The sequence below is a fragment of the Homo sapiens genome, chromosome 2, assembly GCF_000001405.40.
Source record: "Homo sapiens chromosome 2, GRCh38.p14 Primary Assembly".
Classification (NCBI taxonomy): domain Eukaryota; kingdom Metazoa; phylum Chordata; class Mammalia; order Primates; family Hominidae; genus Homo; species Homo sapiens.
In genome coordinates this window covers 27,936,085-27,955,730 of record NC_000002.12, presented here as the reverse complement: position 1 = coordinate 27,955,730, position 19,646 = coordinate 27,936,085, and the positions used below count along the sequence as shown (strand labels likewise).

General features: G+C 36.8%; 1 protein-coding gene, 1 long non-coding RNA gene and 1 pseudogene across 16 annotated transcripts in view; all 3 read right to left on the bottom strand.

Annotated features, from left to right (window-relative positions):
• BABAM2 (BRISC and BRCA1 A complex member 2) overlaps positions 1-19,646 on the bottom strand; it is a 450,193-nt gene that overhangs the window by 383,171 nt on the left and 47,376 nt on the right. The window lies entirely within an intron of this gene.
• Positions 6,024-6,635, bottom strand: LOC100422227 (small ubiquitin like modifier 1 pseudogene; annotated as a pseudogene).
• LOC105374369 (uncharacterized) lies at positions 12,227-18,317 on the bottom strand. 2 transcript variants are annotated; one of them, XR_939870.3, is made up of 2 exons: positions 13,237-18,317; positions 12,227-12,462 (listed from the first exon to the last, which is right to left on the bottom strand). It is a non-coding gene; the product is annotated as an uncharacterized LOC105374369 (long non-coding RNA). The 2 variants fall into 2 exon arrangements; XR_939869.2 differs by having other exon boundaries at positions 13,228-13,272.

The following is a 19,646-nucleotide window of genomic DNA, read 5'->3' as shown; positions in this document are numbered from 1 at the left end:
AAAAATCTCAATGTTAAGGGAATAAAACACAGAGAAGAAATTAGGCCATGTTACTGTCCTTGACAATCAAAGCCTAAAACAAAATAAAACTAAAAATTCCCGTGTGACTCTGAAGACAAGCATAACTTCATTTGCAATGGGGAGGAAACTTCCACTAATGCACATATCTGTGTTATGGAAAAACCAGACAAGATTTACAAATGATATAAAAGATCACTCAAGTTTTTGCCCTAGACCAACAAAACGATCAGAGTAATTTCAAATTGCTACCTAGTAACTTTAGAATTTGCCAAAGTTTGAAGTTTTTTGTTCTTTAAAGGAAGAAAGCAGCAATGAGTAACAATAGTGTGCTTCCTGGCCTTAGGAAGAGTGAGACAGGAGCTCTCCAGCTGCACTTCCTAGCAAAGTATGCCAGCTGCCTTCTGCAAACTGAGATCAAATTGCCAAGAACTTACAGGAGAGCAGTTATGATGGATGACCTAAAATACTGATCTGTTGCAAAGAGGATGTAGTGCAAACCACACAGGAACTGACAGGAAATCAGCCCTTGGGCTGGCAACTACAGATTCAAGAAGGCTAGGAATCCTGGACCTTTGACAGCCAAATTTCATCATCTTCCTTTGTAGGAAGAGTTACATTTCTGAGAGAGCAGTCTGAAAAATCTTGTACAAAGCTTTTTGGTGTCTATTACTATTTAATAATACTGCCCCCTGCCTGAACCACTGGTTTCCTCACATGTGTTAAAAGCCCATCGAAGGTCCCAGAGCACTACTTGACCAAAAATCACATGTTTGCTGGCACACACCTTCATTCTCTCAGCCACGAGCCCACTGAATGCCATAAATGATTCACAGGCTGTCATGGTGGTAAGAAGAAAAACTAATATTTGGAGTTCACCAAATAGTGAGTCATATTTCTGGAAGAAAAGAAAGCCTTACAATTGGCAATGCTTTGGCATGAAATTTTAAAAATTGTTTTTAACATTAATATTAATTCGACGAAAGTTGGCAAAAAGAAATTGATTGAGAAACGTGATATTTGGTCGGCTTATGCCACATAAAAGTCCAGTTCATGCTCCAAGAAAAAGGATGAGTAGGATATCTATTACCTATTTCTAGACTTGCCTTCTGTACTCACTGCTGCCAAGTTACTCATTCTCCCACACAACACTTTCCATACTAATTTTGACCCTTAAGAATCAAAAAGAAGTCTTGCCTTCTTTGCTCCCAAATGCCAAAATGGAATCTTTTAGTATTTCACCTTTATAAAGGGAATGTTTGAAAACAGCCCTCTTTGGCTGTGACATCAGTGAGTTGCTGAGGCCTCCAAGGGCCGGAGGAAGCATTCCCAGTCCCTCACAGTGCTGCTGCACTCCTACGGTGCAATCTGGCAATGGCCAGCGACCAAATCTTTAAAGCTGTTTTATGGTATTTAACATATGGTCATAAATTGCTCAGTGCTCTAAAGAGGGGCTAAATTTGCCGCCCCTATTGATGAGACATGTTCTTATTTATTTAAATTTAGTGGCAAGCTGGCATTTCTCCAGATGGAGAGGTTTAGGCATAAGTACAAAGGAAGAACTAACTAGAAATGAGTTGTAACTTTTCTATACACTGAATGCAACCCCACAAACTCAGGCTTCTGTGCCCAAGTTTGTGCACCGCTATCAAACACAGCTTACCAAATAGAAAGACAATAATATGAAAAGACTCTAATTTCTAAGGGCCAAGGAGGGATGAAACAAATTTTATTCAGACTGGATACGAATTTTGTTTTTAATCTCCTTCTCTTTCTCCTCAGGCTAGCTCTATTCCCACCCATCTCTCTTACCTGTCTCTTTATTCCCCTCACAAATTAGATGTATCTGGTCTTCATCTGAAATCCCACATCTGCAAAACTCTCTAGAACTTCCTTAATCTTCTGGCATTCACCTTCTTATTTTGCCATATTTTTCATTGTTTATTTTTTAATGGTTTTAATTTTCCATCACTAAAAACATGATCATACTTAAACATTTTGTTCCCTTCCTTTTACGAGCTAGCCCTGTAGCCAAAGGCAGAAAAAAAGAAATATTTTTTTTTTTTTTGGTGAGATCGTTGGTAATGATATTAATGTAGATGGTATCAAAAGAGAAGTGTGGGCCCAGTGCGGTGGTTCATGCCTATAATCCCAGCACTTTGGGAAGCCGAGGAGGGAGGATCACTTGAGCCCAAGAATTCGAAACCAGCCTGGGCAACATATAGAGACTCTGTCACTACGGTGGTTCATGCCTGTAATCCCAGCACTGTGGTAGGCCAAGGCAGGAGGATCACTTGAGCCCAAGAATTCAAGACCATCCTGGGCAACACAGGTAGACCCTGTCTCTATACAAAGTAAAAAAATTAGCCAGGCGAGGAGCTCAGGCTCCTCCCACCCCAGCTACTTGGGAGCCTGGGGTAGGAGGATCTGCTTGAGCCCAGGAGTTCAAGGCTGCAGTAAGCCATGATTGTAACACTGCACTCCAGCCTGGGCGACAGAGCAAGCCTCTGTCTCAAAGAAAATTAAAAAATAAAAAATTAGCCAGACATAGTGGCACACACCTGTAGTCCTAGCTACTCAGGAGGATCACCTAAACTCAGGAGTTCGAGTCTGCAGTGAGCCAAGATTATACCACTGCACTCCAGCCTGAGCGACACAGCAGGACCTTGTTTCAAAAAAAGAGAGAGAGAGAAGTGTGAAGGGTAGAGCCACTACTGGTTTTCTTTTTCACGTGCCAATATAGAACTGGCTAAAGAATCAAAAGTTAATTATCTTGCCTAACTCTGGAATGTGAAGAAAGATTTCAATAAATTGGAGGTTTGACAGCAGCCTGGGAACAGTATTAAAAGAATTATTCTATGAAGAATTAGGCTGTTTATATCAGACAGAAGTCTTGCTTTTTAATTTCAATACACAATTGTTTCCCCTGAAGCAGACCTAGTGAAAATCAACGGAGATCAGTGGTCGGATAATGCTACATGAAGCCTGCTATGCATCCCAAACTGGTCTGGAGTGCCTGTAACATTTGGAGCACCCATAATATGTCCCAAAAGGTCTTATGCCAACTTCTGTCTCAAATATCCCAGAGATGAGAACAGTTCAATGCCCTTAAGAGCCAGAATAATAAAGAAAAAGAATAGTTCAAAACAAACATAAATACATTGGTGCCCTCTGGATACTTCCATTAAGCACCTAGTTTCCTAAACACCCTTCATTATGAGGCCAGGCCAGAATTTTTAAATCTCTGCTTTACCAACTCTGAAAAAGTATGTGTCCTGTCTTTTCTGATATGAAGACAGCATTACCAGTGCCATAAACTTGCAAAAAGGGAATCACTCTGAAATACAAAGATAACTAATAGAAATGTAAGCATTTCTTGACACTATGTAGACTCATCAATCCAGCACACAATAATCCCATTAAATGTAAATGGTCTAAACATCCCAATTGACAGGCAAAGACTGTCAGATTTAAAAGTAAAATCCAATTATATGCTACTCAAAAGAAATCTAAAGACACAAATAGGTTAAAAATAAAACAATGGAAAAGATGTACCGTGTAAAATTAATTTCAAGGCAAACAACATTTCCAAGGACAAAGAGTGTCAATTCAAGAGGACATAACATTCTTAAATGTTTACAAATTTAATAACAGAGCTTCAAAATAAATGAAGCAAAAAATGACAGAACAGCAAGAAGAAGTAGACAAATCCACAATTATAGTTTGTGATTTCCATATCCTTCTTCCAATAATTGATAGAAGAATGATGCAGAAGCTCAATAAAGATATGGTACACATTTAAACATAAACCCATAATTATAGTCAGAGATTGCAGTATCTCTCTTTAAAAAACTAAAATAGGGCGAGGGATAAAAGACTACAAATAGGGTGCAGCGTATACTGCTCCAGTGATGGGTGCACCAAAATCTCACAAATCACCACTAAAGAACTTACTCATGTAAACAAACATCACCTGTTCCCCAATAACCTACGGAAAAATAAAAAATTGAAAAAATTGAAAACTAAAATAACAAAAAGAAAATTAGTAACAATAGATCACATTTGAACAACTCTATTAACCAACTTGACCTAATTGCTATTATGGAACACTCTACCAAAGAAAAATAGAACACATTCTTTTCAGTGTACATTGAACATGTACTAAAATAATCTATATCCTGGGCCATAAAACAAATCTCAATACATTTAAAAGGATGTAAGTCATACAAAGTATGTTCTCTGACCACAATAAACTTAAATTCAAATTCAATAAAAGATCCAGAAAATTTTGTAAACCAAATAACATATTTCTAAATAACTCATAGGTCAAAAAAAATCTAAGGGAAATTCAGAACATGTGATGAGTGAAAATAAAAACACAACACAGCAAAATTTGTAGGATACATCTAAAACACCACTTAGCTGGAAATTTATAGCATTAAACACCAATATTAGGAAAAAAGAAAGATCTCAAATCAATGACCATGTTAATAAACTACGAAAAGAAGAGCAAGTGAAAGTAAAAGAATATTTAAAATCTGAATGGAAATCAATAAAACAGAAAACAGAAATACAACAGAGAAGATGGATGAAACCAAAAGCTGGTTCTTCCACAACATGAGTAAATGTTTACCACTTTTTTCTTTACCACTAGCCAGACTGGCAAAGAAAACAGTTGCGGGGGAGAAAGGAATGGCCAAGATCAGGAAACACAGAGGTAACATCACTACAAATTTTACACATTTTTTTAAAAGAATAAAAAAAATTTATGAAAAACTTTATGTCAATCAATTCAGCAACTTAGATGAAATGGACAAATTCCTTTAAAGACACAAATCAGCAACACTCATTCAAGATGAAGTAGATAATCTGAATAGATCTAAATCTATTAAGCAAATTTAATTTGTACTTTAAAACCTTCCCACAAAGAAAACTCCAGGCCCAGATGGTTTCACTGGCAAATTCTACCAAACATTTAAGGAAGAAATAATATGAATTCTTCACAAACCTTTGAAAAAAATGAAGAAAAGGGTTCACTTAGCAACTCATTCTATTCTGAAGCCAGCTTTACTATGAGGAAAAAAATAGGAAAAAGCATTCAAATAAAACTACAAACCAATATCATTCATGAATATAAATGAAAAACTCTAAAAAAACTTTAGCAAATTAAATCCAACAATATAGAGAAAGGACACTACATCAAAACAATCAGTTCATCCCAGGAATGCAAGGTAGACTGAATATTCAAAATTCAATGAATGAAAACCACCATATTAATAACATTAAAAGAGAAAAACCACATGATCATCTCAATAGATGAAGATAAGTATCTGCCAAAATCTAACATCCATTGTTGATTTTTTTCTGTGGTAGTCATTTCTACATTAATAACTTTATTAATTGCTAATGAAAATTAGAACTGTTATGGGTTCTTCTGACAAGATATTTTAAAATCTTAAAATGCCTTTTCTTCACTGAAGCCATCTTTAGAGTTAGTTATTGCTTTCATGTTACCTGTCATCTTGACTTCAACCTGATATTTTTTGTTCTCAACTCTCAAATTTTAAAAGTAGCTTCAAGTTAAGGAAAGGTCATTTTTCCACAGTTGATTTCTCTGAAAAACATCCGTCTCCTGCTGGAAGTCTAGGAGTGAATCTAGAACTTCAGGGCCAACTGGAAATTCATTACGAACACTTGCATTGGTTAATCTTATTTATCTCCACAAGCCAGAAAATGTACAGTCCTGAAAAAGGTGGTCTCTCTGTGCACACATATAATTTTTAAAAAGGAGAGGGCAACAGGAAGGGGACTGAGGCTTGATCACCAAAAAACAGCACAATGAAAACAAACAATACGGAATAATGAGCACTAGAATTCAAATTACCAGATGTTTTAAAGAGATGGGTGCCAGTTTTCAATTCCCTTTTCAACACCACACTACAAAAGAACTATTTTTAAAAATAAAAAAGGGTTGAGGGAAAAGAAAAAAATTAAAAGAATATCTAAACAGTTGAATGACCTTCTGTTTGTTCCTGATAAACTTAAATCACATCTTCTTCTTCCATCCCCAGTTCTTTTAGAGTATGATTATCAGCAATTATCTGACCTTCAAAGAGAAACCTCAGTGAATTCACTGGATGCCCTGTCTTCGACAATATGATTCTTTTTTTTTTTTTTTTGAGACGGAATCTCACTCTGTCGCCCAGGTTGGAGCGCAGTGGTGCGATCTCGGCTCACTGCAATCTCCGCCTCCCGGGTTCAAGCGATTCTCCTGCCTCGGCCTCCCAAGTACCTGGGATCACAGGCACCCATCACCACGCCTGGCTAATTTTTTGTATTTTTAGTAGAGACAGGATTTCACCATGTTGGCCAGCCTGGTCTCAAACTCCTGACCTCAGGTGATCCGCCTGTCTCGGCCTCCCAAAGTGCTGGGATTACAGGCGTAAGCCACCGCTCCCAGCCAACAATATGATTCTTTGAGTCTCTTAAGATGTGCTGTCATTTTCACTGAAGTAAATCTCACTGCTATCCTGTCCAGTGACTTTGAGTTCAATGTACTCGCCTTCCTTCTTATTCCCCAAGTCCTAAGTTGAAGGTTTTGGCTGCTGGTCAGACATGGTGACAGTGGCTTCCCCTGAGAGTCTTCGCACAGCAGCAGGCTGGGGTAGGCAGACCTTAGCTCTTGGTTTTACAAATCTGTCTCCCTTCCCCACAGGACAACACTGTGGCTGACCATTCCTGATTTTAAAAAACTAAACAAAACAAAAAATCCCCAACTAACTAGGTATAAAAGGGGACTTCATCAGTCTGATAAAGGGCATCTCTGAAAAATACATAGCCAACATAATATTAATACTTAATGGTGAAAGACAGAATTATTTTCCCCTAAAATCTGGAACAAGGCAAGAATATCTAATCTTAAAACTTTTTTTTTTATTTTTTGAGGTGGAGTCTCACTCTGTCATCCAGGCTGGAGTGCAGTGGCGTGATTTCAGCTCACTGCAACCTCCACCTCCCGGGTTCAAGCAATTCTCCTGCCTCAGCCTCCCAAGTAGCTGGGATTACAGGCATGCGCCATCATGCCTAAGTGATTTTTGTATTTTTAGTAGAGACAGGGTTTTGCCATGTTGGCCAGGCTGGTCTCTAACTCCTGACCTCAGGTGATCCACCCACCTCGGCCTCCCAAAGTACTGTGATTACAGGCGTGAGCCACCACACCCAGCCTTAACACTTTTCTACCAACAAAATATTGGAGATTCTAGTCAGTGCACTAAGGCAGGAAAGAAAGAAAAGGCATTCAGATTAGACAGGAAGGACTAAAACTGTCATTCACAGATGGCATAATTTTCTATGTAGGAAATCTTATGGAGTCTACAGACAAACTTCTGTAACTCAAACCTGAGTTTACCAAGGATATAACATCAATAGATAAAAAAAAAAATCAACTGTATCTCTATATATCAGCAATAAACAATCAGAAATTTAGAATTTAAAAAATATAATTTTCAACAGCATCAAAATATATTAAATATTTAATAAACAAAAAGAAGTGCAAAACCTGTACATGGAATACTAATAACATAGAAAACTAAAAAATTGACAAGATGATTCCAAATTTTATAGAGAAATGAAAAAAATCTAACATTTCCAAACCATTTTGGAAAAAAAAGGAATAAAAATTGGAGGATATATACCACCTGATTTCCAAACTTACTATCAAACTACAGCAATCAAAACTGTGGTTTCAATATAAAGTTAGATATATAGACCTACAGGACAGACTAGAAAGTTAAGAAAAATGCTCACACATATGTGGGAAATTAATTTTTGACAAAAGTGCAAGGGCAATTTAAAAGAGAAAGAGCATTCTTTTCATCAGATGATACTAGAATATGTGGATGTCCATACTTTTTAAAAACCTGTATCGTATACAAAAATAAACTCAAAATGGATCACAAACCTGAACATAAAACCTAAAGCTATAAAACATTTAAAAGAAAACATAGTACAAAAATCTTTGTGGCATGGAATTAGGCAGTTTCGTTAAGACAATAAAAAGACAAGCCACAGTCAGGGAGAAAATATTTGCAAATCATACATCTGATAAAAAACTTGTAACCTAAATATATGAAGAATTCTCAAAACTCAATGATAAGAATCCATTTTTTAAAAAGGCAAAAGGTTTGAACATTTTGCTAAAGACAATTTATCACATATAAAGAAATGAAATGTATAATAGCAGAAAAGGATGGCCAGAGGAGTTGAGTAGGGGAAAAAGAAGTATATAATATTGTTAGGTTCTTACATGATAAATGAAGTATTATAGTATTTTTAATGGTAGACTGTGAAAAGTTAAAGATATGTATTCTGAACACTAGAACAGCCATGGGGGAAAAAAATCAAACAATGACATATAGCTCAGAAGCCAACAGTAGAGACAAAATAAAATCCTAAAATATTAATTAATCCAAAAGAAGGCAGTAAAAGAAATGAAAAACAGATGACATAACAATTAGAAAATAAACAGCAAGATCCAGCCATAGTGGCAATCAGGTTAAAGATTAAATTACCTAAACACTCCATTTAAAAGGTAGACATTTTCAAGCATAAACAAAGAGCAGAAAACAATGAAATATACAGGAGAATAATAAAGAAAAATCTATGAAATAAAAAGCTGGTTATTTAAAAAAAAATAAAATTGTTAATCTTCTAGCTAGATTCATCAAGGAAAGCAGAGAAAAGACACAATGTACCAATGTCAGAAATGAAAGGGGAAATGAGTACAGGTCACACAGGCAGTAAAAGAATAAGGAGGAAATAGATGAATAACGGTATGCCAATAATTTCAACAACTTGGATGAAATGAACAAATTCCTTAAAAGACAAGGCTGTAAAAACTCGCTTAAGAATAATTTAAAAACCTGTTAGCCCTATATCTGTTAAAGAAATTGCATTTATAGTTAAAAACCTTCCCTCTCGCTCACTCTCTCTCTTGCTCTCTCTCTCTCTCCTCTCTTCTCCTCTCCTCTCCTCTCTCTTCTCTCCTCTCTCCTCTCTCTCTCGCCTCTCTTTCTCTCTCTCTCTATCTCGCTCCAGGTCCAGATGGCTTCATTGGTGAATTCTAACCTTCTAAGCTTTCAGGAAGAAATAAAATCAATCTTTCACAAACTCAGAAAACAGAGGACTGAATACTTCCCAACTTATTTTATAAACACAGCATTACTCTGGTGCCAAAACCAAGCAAAGAACTAAAAGTAAAGAAAAGAAATACAGCATCAAATACAGAAATGCAAAGTTCTTTAAAAAGACATGAGTGAATCAACTCCAGTAATACATCAGAAGGATCATACATAATAATCAAGCGGAATTAATCTGCAGAATGCAACAGTGGTTCAACATTTGAAAATCAGTTTATTTATCATATTAACAGAATAAAAGAAATAAACCAAGTAGACAGAGAAAAAAAATTAACATATATTAACATTCTTTTCATAATAAAAACTCTCAGCAAACTAAAATAGATGGGAACTTCCTTAGATTGATAAAAAGGCACCTAGAACTGACAATTACACCTGATGAAAGACTAACTACCTTCTTAAGACTGCGAATAAGGCAAGAAGGTCTGACTTCACCACTTCTACCTGCCACTGGCTATTAGGTATTGTCTACTGCACTAGATAGTACAATAAAACAAGAATGAGAAATATAAATTATATAGATTGGAAAGGAAGATACAAAACTATCTTTTTCACAAGCAAATGTGTTGAAGAAAATACCTAAGGAATCTACAAAAAAATTATTAGAATTAATAAGTAAATTTAGGGACATAGCAGCATCAGCATACAAGGTTAAATATACCAAAATCAATTACATTTCAATGAGTTCAGGAAAACAAAGTTCAAAAAAAAAAAAACCACACTACTATAAATTGGCATCAGAAAGTATGATATATTTAGAGGTAAATTTAACAAAATTGGATTAAGATATATTCACTGAAAACTATAAAATACTGCTCAGAGCAATTAAAAGTGACCTAAATAAATGGAGATGTTAGCATTTTTATCTCTTGGAAGACTCAGTGTTAAGATGTTAATTCTCTACAAACTGATCTACAGATTCCCAGCAGGATTTCTGTAAACAATTACAAGCTGATTCTAAAACTTCTATGGAAATGCAAAGGACTTAGAATATCCGAAACAGCTTTGAAAAAGAAGTTACAGGACTTATACTACCTTATTTAAAGACTTCCTATAAAGCTACAGTAGTCAGGATCGTGTTGTATTCACTTAAGGATAGACATATTAAGGGAATACAACATAAAGTCCAGAAATAGACCCACACTTAAATTGTTAATTAACAAATATATGATCAAAAGTAGCTCAAAGGCCAGGCATGGTAGCTCATGCCTGTAATCTCAGCACCTTGGGAGGCCAAGGTGGAAAGATCACTTTAGGCCAGGAGTTCGAGACCAGCCTGGGCAACACAGTGAAACCCCGTCTCTACAAAAATAAAATAAAAAATAAAAATTAGCCAGGTATGGTAGTATGTGCCTGTAGTCCCAGCTATTTGGGAGGCTGAGGCAGGAGGGGTTGCTTGAGCCCAGGAGGTCAAGGTTGCAGTGAGCTATGATTGCTATGATTGTGCCACTACACTACACCACAGGCTTTTTATTACTGGGTAATAAAGTGAGACCCTGTCTTTAAAAAAAAAAAAGGTAGCTCAAAATGGATCAACAATACTAATGTTGGCAAGAAAAAAAGGTAGCTCAAAATGGATCAACAATACCAATACTGGCAAGAATATAGAAAAACTAATGGATCAACAATACCAAATGTTGGCAAGACTGTAAAAGAACTAGAACCTCATAAATTGTTAGCAGGAATGTAAAATAGTGCAACTACTTTGGAAAACAGTTTAGCCCTTAAAAGTTAAGCATACACTCAGCTAACAACACAGTAATACTACTGCTAGGTATTTACCCAATAAAAATTAAAACACATCTCCAGAAAAAGACACGTACAAAAATGTAATGGCAAGTTTATTCATAATAGCCAAAAAATAGAAAAAAAAATCCGAATGTCCTTCAATGGATGAATAAATAAAAAACTGTGGTACAGCCATACAATGTAGTGCTATACAGCAATAAAAGGAACAAAGTACTGATGTAACATGGATGAATCTCAAAAACATAATGCTGACTGAAAGAGGCCATATACCAAAAACTACATAATATATTATTCCATTTATATAAAATTCTAAACAGGCAAAACTGTTTCAGTTTTAGAGAAATGAAAAGGCTCAGGGTTAAGAGGAAGGTGGTGGAGGGGACCGATTTGTGTGGGTAAGGAAATGTTCTATACCTTTAGGGAATGGAAATGTTCTTTATCTTGACTATGGTGTGGTTTTAAGTGTTTACAATTGCCAAAACACACAGAACTGTACACTTAAAGTGGGTACATTTTATTATATGTAAATTACACTACCTCAATAAAATTGATATTAAAGAGTGGGATATAAATTCTGACCTAAGAGTTATTGTGTCGATAAAATAAAATAATGCATGTAAATAAGCCTAACCATAAAATGCCCAATAAGTTAATTTAGTAATCATATCAGTCATTTTTAATAAACTATAATCAGTACCAAAGACAGATTATATATAATACATAGCTATAATTAAACTGACTTTATAAATTTAAATTAATAATATTAGTTGCTATTCCTAATATATTTCTTCTAACCCATGAATTCCAAGAAAATAAAATATTCTAAAACTCCAAGACAAAGGAATCCTGAATATCTAAGGAGAGAGAATGTCTAATCCAGAAAATTAGCACTCTTTACTTGCCTTTCAATGAGCATTTTGTAGAACATTCACTAAATCAAAGGTGACCTGCCTCCACAATTAGCCTCTAAAAATACCTTAAATGCTAGATAATAACAATCTTTAAGTAAATGAATCTTTTTAAAAGACAAAAATAAAAGTAAAATTATGCCTCTCAGCATGATGCAAAATACTAAGTCCCTAGACAGCATCCAACTTTTTACTTAGCTCAACTGTTGCAAGTCATAGTAAAAATGGTTAACTCCTACTCTCCTTGCAAGCATTCTTGCAGACTAGAAGAGAACTGGTCTAGGGAGCCTCCTAAATAGAGAGCACTTCCATTAGAGTGGCAGGTTTGTGAGCGCGAATGAAAAACCAAATACATCACAAGACAGGCTATTTTATTATTCCTTGGTTTGTCCTGCTAAAGCCAAAACAGTGTGGCAAAAGCAGAAGCAGGAAAGGAAGGCAGGGTATTTGGGAAGTATAATGGGCAAATCAGTCTTGCAGAGCAGCTTTCTGACTTGGCTTGTTGTTAGCTGAGCTCTAACTGGGAGGCTGGAATGTCACACTGTGACTGGCCTTGAATGCCAGGCTGAGAGATTCAGTCCACTAAAATACTGAAGGGGAAGTGGAAGCAGAAAGATTACTTGGTTAACATTTTCCAAACAGATTATTTTAAATAGTACAAGAAATTTTAAATAAAATAACATTGTCATCCCAACAAAAATGCCAACAGCTATAGTCACAACGGCCAGCTTTTGGACCTAGCGGCCAAGGTTCAAAATGTATGGTATGGGCAAGGTGCAGTGGCTCACGCCTGCAATCCCAACACTTTGGGAGGCCACAGTGGAAGGATAGCTTGAGCCCAGAAGTTCAAGATCACCTGGGCAATGAAGTGAAACCAAAACCCCGTCTCTACAAAAAAATGGTGATGCACACCTATAGTCCCAGCTACTCGGGAGGCTGAGGGTGGAGGATCACTTGAGCCAGTGAGGTCAGAGCTGCAGTGAGCTATAATGCACTCCAGGCTGGGCCACAAAGCAAGACCCTGTCTTAATAAATAAATAAATAAATAAATAAATAAATAAATAAATTTTTTAAGAAAGAATAAGTAAAACAGTTATTATCAGGTGCCCTGCCAACAATATTTCACTTAGATGGGGTTGGTAGGCAGGCTATGAAACAATTAAAGAACAGCCTATTACATTAAGAAACCAAGGCCGGGTGCAATGGCTCATGCCTGTAATCCCAGCACTTCAGGAGGCTGAGGCAGATGGACTGCTTGAGCCCAGGAGTTCAGATCAGCCTGGGTAACGTGGCATAAACCCATCCCTACAAAAAAAAAAAAAAATGCAAAAATTAGCGGGTGTGGTGGTGTGCACCTGTAGTACCAGATATCTGGGAGGCTGAGGTGGAGGGATTGCTTGAGCCAGGGAGGCAGAGGTTGCTGTGAGTTGTGATCGCGCCACTGTGCTCCAGGCTGGGTGACATGGCGAGACCCTGTCTCAAAAAAATAAATAAAATAAAATAAAATAATAGCACGGTATAACAAAGCAAAGAAAGTGCAAAATTCTTATAGATGAGATAAATCAATAAAGTCTCAATATCTATTTCAGCTGATGCAACAACAAACTTCGCAACACCACTGGGTCCTCCAGGCGCCATCAGTTTGGTTATCAGTTTCTGTTTGACAGTCATCCATGCCAAGCCCCACAGTGTCTCTGCATTGTGCTACATAAGTAATGAGCAGCATTCTCAGTTTATTAAGCTGATTAGCTAGAACAAATTAATATGTAATAGATCGGAGATGGGGAAGCACTGTGTTAAAACACACACAAGCACACACACACACAAAAGCAGCAGCCAAAGCACTCAAGGAGACATAGATCAAAAATGAAGTTGAATTTCAGGTAGATTCATTAAAGTAGAAGCTCCAGAACATTATGTGCAATGTTTCTGTAAAAATCTATGCATCTGTTTGGCCACTATTTAATTAAATGGTACATTCCATTTAAGTAACAGTTCTGAAACTGTTCTCATTTTGTTTTAATCATTCTCAAAAAATATATATTTAAATTTAGTGATATAGTATGGAATCCTTAAAAATGAACAGTAATTTTACACTGCTTCTCTGAGGACATAGAAGATAATATATTATTCGTATCACAATTGATTTTTTTCTGACTTTTTCCTCTGAAAGGAAAAGTGTATCAACTTCAAAACCTTTGGGTATTTCTTGACATGACTTCTTCACTCTGTCACAAACAGCTTTGAAATATCCATCATTCCTCTCAGATGATAAACAACTATATTGCTCTTTTTTTTTTTTTGAGACGGAGTCTTGCACTGTCACCCAGGCTGGTGTGCAGTGCCGCGATCTCGGCTAGCTGCAACCTCCGCCTCCCAGGTTCAAGTGATTCTCCTGACTGAGCCTCCTGAGAAGCTAGGATTACAGGCACCCGCCACCACACCCAGCTAATCTTTTGTATTTTTAGTAGAGGCAGGGTTTCACTATGTTGGCCAGGCAACTCCTGACCTTGTGATCTGCCCGCCTCGACCTCCCAAAGTTCTGGGATTACAGGCGTGAGCCACCGCGCCTGGCTGCTCTATTGTTAAAGACAAAAAAATGTCTACATTTTCATTTGGAAATTCTTTAGAAAGAATTCCTGAAACAGGGTAATAGATACCTTTCTGGGTATCTGCCAGGCTATGCTTATCTTATCTTGTGTTAAAACTAACCTCTACTAATCAGGTTGATAATACATGACCCAGAAATCCTGGCCATATAACTTGATCACAAGTGGTCACTTGGCCCAAGCTGCCAATCAGATCCTCTCTCCCAGGAATTTAAACTCAATGACAACCTCTCTGGTGGCCTTGAATTGAGTCCTCATGTAGGGGCTCAGGAAGTCATTTCTACCCAATGTGGGGAGAAACAGAAGTCGGGGGTTGGTTGGGGTGGAGGGGCGGTTAGAATACAGTGACAATAGAATATGTTGCAGGAGAAAGACACAAACATGGACACAGATGCTGACTGGCGACTATGTCTACCAGCCTTCCAGTTCCCGGTTCTAGTCCCTGAGAACCTGGCTGTCCTTTCTGCCCTTGGGCATCATAGGCTTTACTTGATTCCTTACAAAGACAAATAAATTCTTCAATTTATGTTAGTTCCAGTGGGTTTCTTATAATAAAACAGCCCCTGATTAAAATAAATTGTTTAAACCACAGATAATTTCAAATGTAAAACCAATGTTAGCAAACTGTTTGATTTACTAGCCACAGACTTGCTCAATATAACTTACAATATTTCAATAATCTCTCTTCAAAGCTGCATAAACAGCATTATTCAAAGAACTGGCAGAATTAAGTTCTGTCACTTCCTATCAAACCTCATTGTTGTCAGATCCAAAGAATGAACACGGCTCATTCTTTCCACAAACATTTATTAAACCTCTCTAAATGCCAGATACTCAACTAGAGATTGGGAATAAAGTATGAGCAAACAGGCTCACTCTTTGCCCTATTTAAATACAGTACACAAAAACACAAATGGAATAATTTCTTCTAGAGTTAATTGCTACAGAGTATGACTAGGATGGCTATATTTACAAACAGGTGTTTATATGACACTCATGGCTCTTTTTATGTGAATAGCTGCTATAGCTGGAAAATTTTCAGCCACTTCAGTTGCACCATCCTAGACCTTAACGTGTATTTCATTTAAATCAATCTTGATCACTGAAGATTCACATTTCCAATATCATTTAAGTAATAGAATATGTTGCAGGAGGAGTTGTGTCTTCTGCAATTGTGAGATTCAAGGACTTCTCTTTACTTAGGATATCCTTTAACATTTTTCAATAGAATCTTATACAAATTGGCAACTCTTTTACTGGCCAACAATTGTCTCTTCACAGTAAAAGACCTGAGGAAACAATAATATCATTCCTAATGTACTATAATCTTCTGATCTTTTTTATTTCAATTATTTAACTTTGAATGGGGATAATTCTGTAAGAATCAATTAGTGAGTAGAAATACGCCCTCTCTCATCTCTCATTCTCATTCTCATTAACTGCAGTTTCCTTTACTTACAATGAAACAGATTTACAGAAGTACTATTTTCCAATACATAAAATATTTTGAAAAATAAGTTTAGTTACATGCTATTTTCATTAATCTGCTTGCAGAGGGCAGAGTAAAATATATAAAGATAAAATTGATTCAGACTCCAAATCTGCAAATGACTGTACATTCTTCCTGTTTTCTGAATTGTTAAGAGCAATGTTCCAATTACAAATTCCTTGTATAATAAATAACTTCTAAAGATCAAATTTCTGTTGGCAAAAGGCTGATACAACAGAATGCCACATTCTTTATAACACATACTTCAACCAACGAAAATCTGAACACTAAAGATTCATTAATTTATGCATGCATGCATTCATTCTATTTCTTCAACAAATATTTAATTGAATATCTTTACTGTGCTAGAGACTAAAGATTTAATTTAATAAACACAACAGTCTCCATCTCTAACTTTATTGAGCTTAAGTTATGAAATAAAATTACTGTAAGTTCTAGTAAATTACTGAATACTTTGATTCAGCGTTGGTTAGAACTATAGTTTAAACTGGCCAAGCGCGGTGGCTCATGCCTGTAATCCTAGCACTTTGGGAGGCCGAGGTGGGCGGATCACTAGGTCAAGACATCGAGACCATCCTAGCCAACATGGTGAAACCCTGTCTCTACTAAAAATACAAAAATTAGCTGGGCATGGTGGCCAGTGCCTGTAGTCCCAGCTACTCAGGAGGCTGAGACAGGAGAAACACTTGAACCCAGGAGGTGGAGGTTGAAGTGAGCCGAGATTGCTACATTGCACTCCAGCCTGGTGCTAGAGCAAGACTTGGTCTCAAATAAATAAATAAATAACTATAGTTTAAACCATACACCACAAGTTTTCAATGAGATTTAATGAGAAACTTTAGATTTAAAAAATTGTTTATATAAAAATGTTAAGACTGCAAAGCACTGAGTTAGCCATTACCCTTTGCTTGGAAACAAAAAGGAGAAGGTTAGAGAATATTTATCTATTATTTACCGTAGAATATAATTTAAATCTATACTTACTCATTTTCCTCTTACAGTATAATTAGGTTTCCTTAGAGGTCTGTTTCTTTAAAAAGGCAAAGAGCTGGCCGAGCACAGTGGCTCACGTCTGTAATCTCAGCACTTTGGGAGGCTGAGGCGGGCGGATCACAAGGTCAGGAGTTCGAGACCAGCCTGGCCAATATGGTGAAACCCTGTCTCTACTAAAAATACAAAAATTAGCTGGGTGTTGTGACACGTGCCTGTAGTCCCAGCTACTCAGGAGGCTGAGGCAGGAGAATCGCTTGAACCCAGGAGGCGGAGGTTGCAGTGAGCCGAGACCGTGCCACTGCATTCTAGCCTGGGGGACAGAGCGAGATTCTGTCTCAAAAAAAAAAAAGGCAAAGACCTTTTCTGTTTGCTGTGATAGTTATCTTCCAAGAGTCTGTAAAACTATATAACCTTTCAATTAAGTGTGTTTGTATTAGAATACTACATTTGTTAAAATGTGTGTTGCTGAGAAGTGTTTGTTCATCTAAAGACGAATATTATGTTGATTGTAGGAGGCTGAATTCTATCACAAATATTGTGGTAATTAAACACTATGACCTTACTGATCTTGTATACAATAGATTTAAGGTTGCTAAAATTAATGGAAAGCCCAGAAATAAAACCACGCTTCTACAGCTAACTGATTTTTGACAAAGGTGCCAAGAACACACATTGGAGAAAGGACAGTCTCTTCAATAAATGGTGTTGGGAAAACTGCATATCCACATGAAGAGGAGTAACACTAGCCCTTACCTTTCATCATATACAAAAATCAACTCAAAAAGGATTAAAGAGTTAAACGTAAGATCGGAAACTATGAAACTACTAGAAGAAAACATAGGAGAAATGCCTCGTCACAATTGGTCTCAGTAAGAATTTTTTGGAAAAGCTCTCAAAAATACAGAAAGCAAAAGCAAAAATATATAGATTACATCAAACTAAGAAGCTTCTGCACATCAAAGGAAACAATCAACAGACTGCAGAGACAACCTACAGAATGGGAGAAAATATTTGCAAATTATACATCTAACAAGAGGTTAATATGTGGAATATATAAAGAATTCAAGCCACTAAATAGAAGAAAATAATCCAATTAAAAATGAGTAAAAGACCTAAAGAGACACTTTTCAAAAGACATATAAATGGTCAACCAGTATATGAAAAAATGTTCAACATCACTAATTATCAAGGAAATGCAAATCAAAACCACAATGAGATATCATCTCACTCCAGTTACACAATGGCTACAGTCAGCTCTCTATCCGTGGGTTCCACATCCATGCGTTCAGCAAACCAGTTGATCAAAAATATTCAAAAAACAGGCTGGGTGCGGTGGCTCATGCCTGTAATCCCAGCACTTTGGGAGGCCAAGGCAGGCAGATCTCGAGGTCAGGAGTTTGAGACCAGCCTGGCCAACATGGTGAAATCCTGTCTCTAAAAACAAAAATTCAAAAAACAAACTGCATCTGAACTGAACATTTACAGACTTTTGTCATTATTCCCTGAACAATACCATATCACAGCTATCTACGTAGAATTTACATTGTATTAGGCATTATAAGGAATCTAAAGATGATTTAAAGTACAAACATAAGGCAAAGACATTCTGGGTTTGGTTCCAGACCAATGCAATAAAGCGAGTATCACAATAAAGCAAAGTCATATAAACTTTTTGGTTTCCCAGTGCATATAAGAGTTATATTTACTATACTATAGTCTATTAAGTGTATAATAGCATTATGTCTAAAATAAAATGATAATACCTGATTTTATTTTTTTTAATTTATTTGTTATTATTATTATACTTTAAGTTTCAGGGTACATGTACACAATGTGCAGGTTAGTTACATATGTATACATGTGCCATGCTGGTGTGCTGCACCCATTAACTCGTCATTTAGCATTACGTATATCTCCTAATGCTATCCCTCCCCCCTGCCCCTACCCCACAACAGTCCCCAGAGTGTGATGTTCCCCTTCCTGTGTCCATGTGTTCTCATTGTTCAATTCCCACCTATGAGTGAGAACATGCGGTGTTTGGCTTTTTGTCCTTGCGATAGTTTACTGAGAATGATGATTTCCAGTTTCATCCATGTCCCTACAAAGGACATGAACTCATCATTTCTTGTGGCTGCATAGTATTCCATGGTGTATATGTGCCACATTTTCTTAATCCAATCTATCATTGTTGGACATTTGGGTTGGTTCCAAGTCTTTGCTATGGTGAATAGTGCCGCAATAAACATACGTGTGCATGTGTCTTTATAGCAGCATGATTTATAGTCCTTTGGGTATATATCCAGTAATGGGATGGCTGGGTCAAATGGTATTTCTAGTTCTAGATCCCTGGGGAATCGCCACACTGTCTTCCACAATGGTTGAACTAGTTTACAGTCCCACCAACAGTGTAAAACTGTTCCTATTTCTCCACATCCTCTCCAGCACCTGTTGTTTCCTGACTTTTTAATCATTGCCATTCTAACTGGTGTGAGATGGGATAATACCTGATTTTAAAATACTGTATTGCGGCCGGACATGGTGGCTCACTCCTGTAATCCCAGCACTTTGGGAGGCGAAGGTGGGTGGATCACCTGAGGTCAGGAGTTCAAGACCAGCCTGGCTAATATGGTGAAGCCCCGTCTCTACTAAAAATATAAAAATT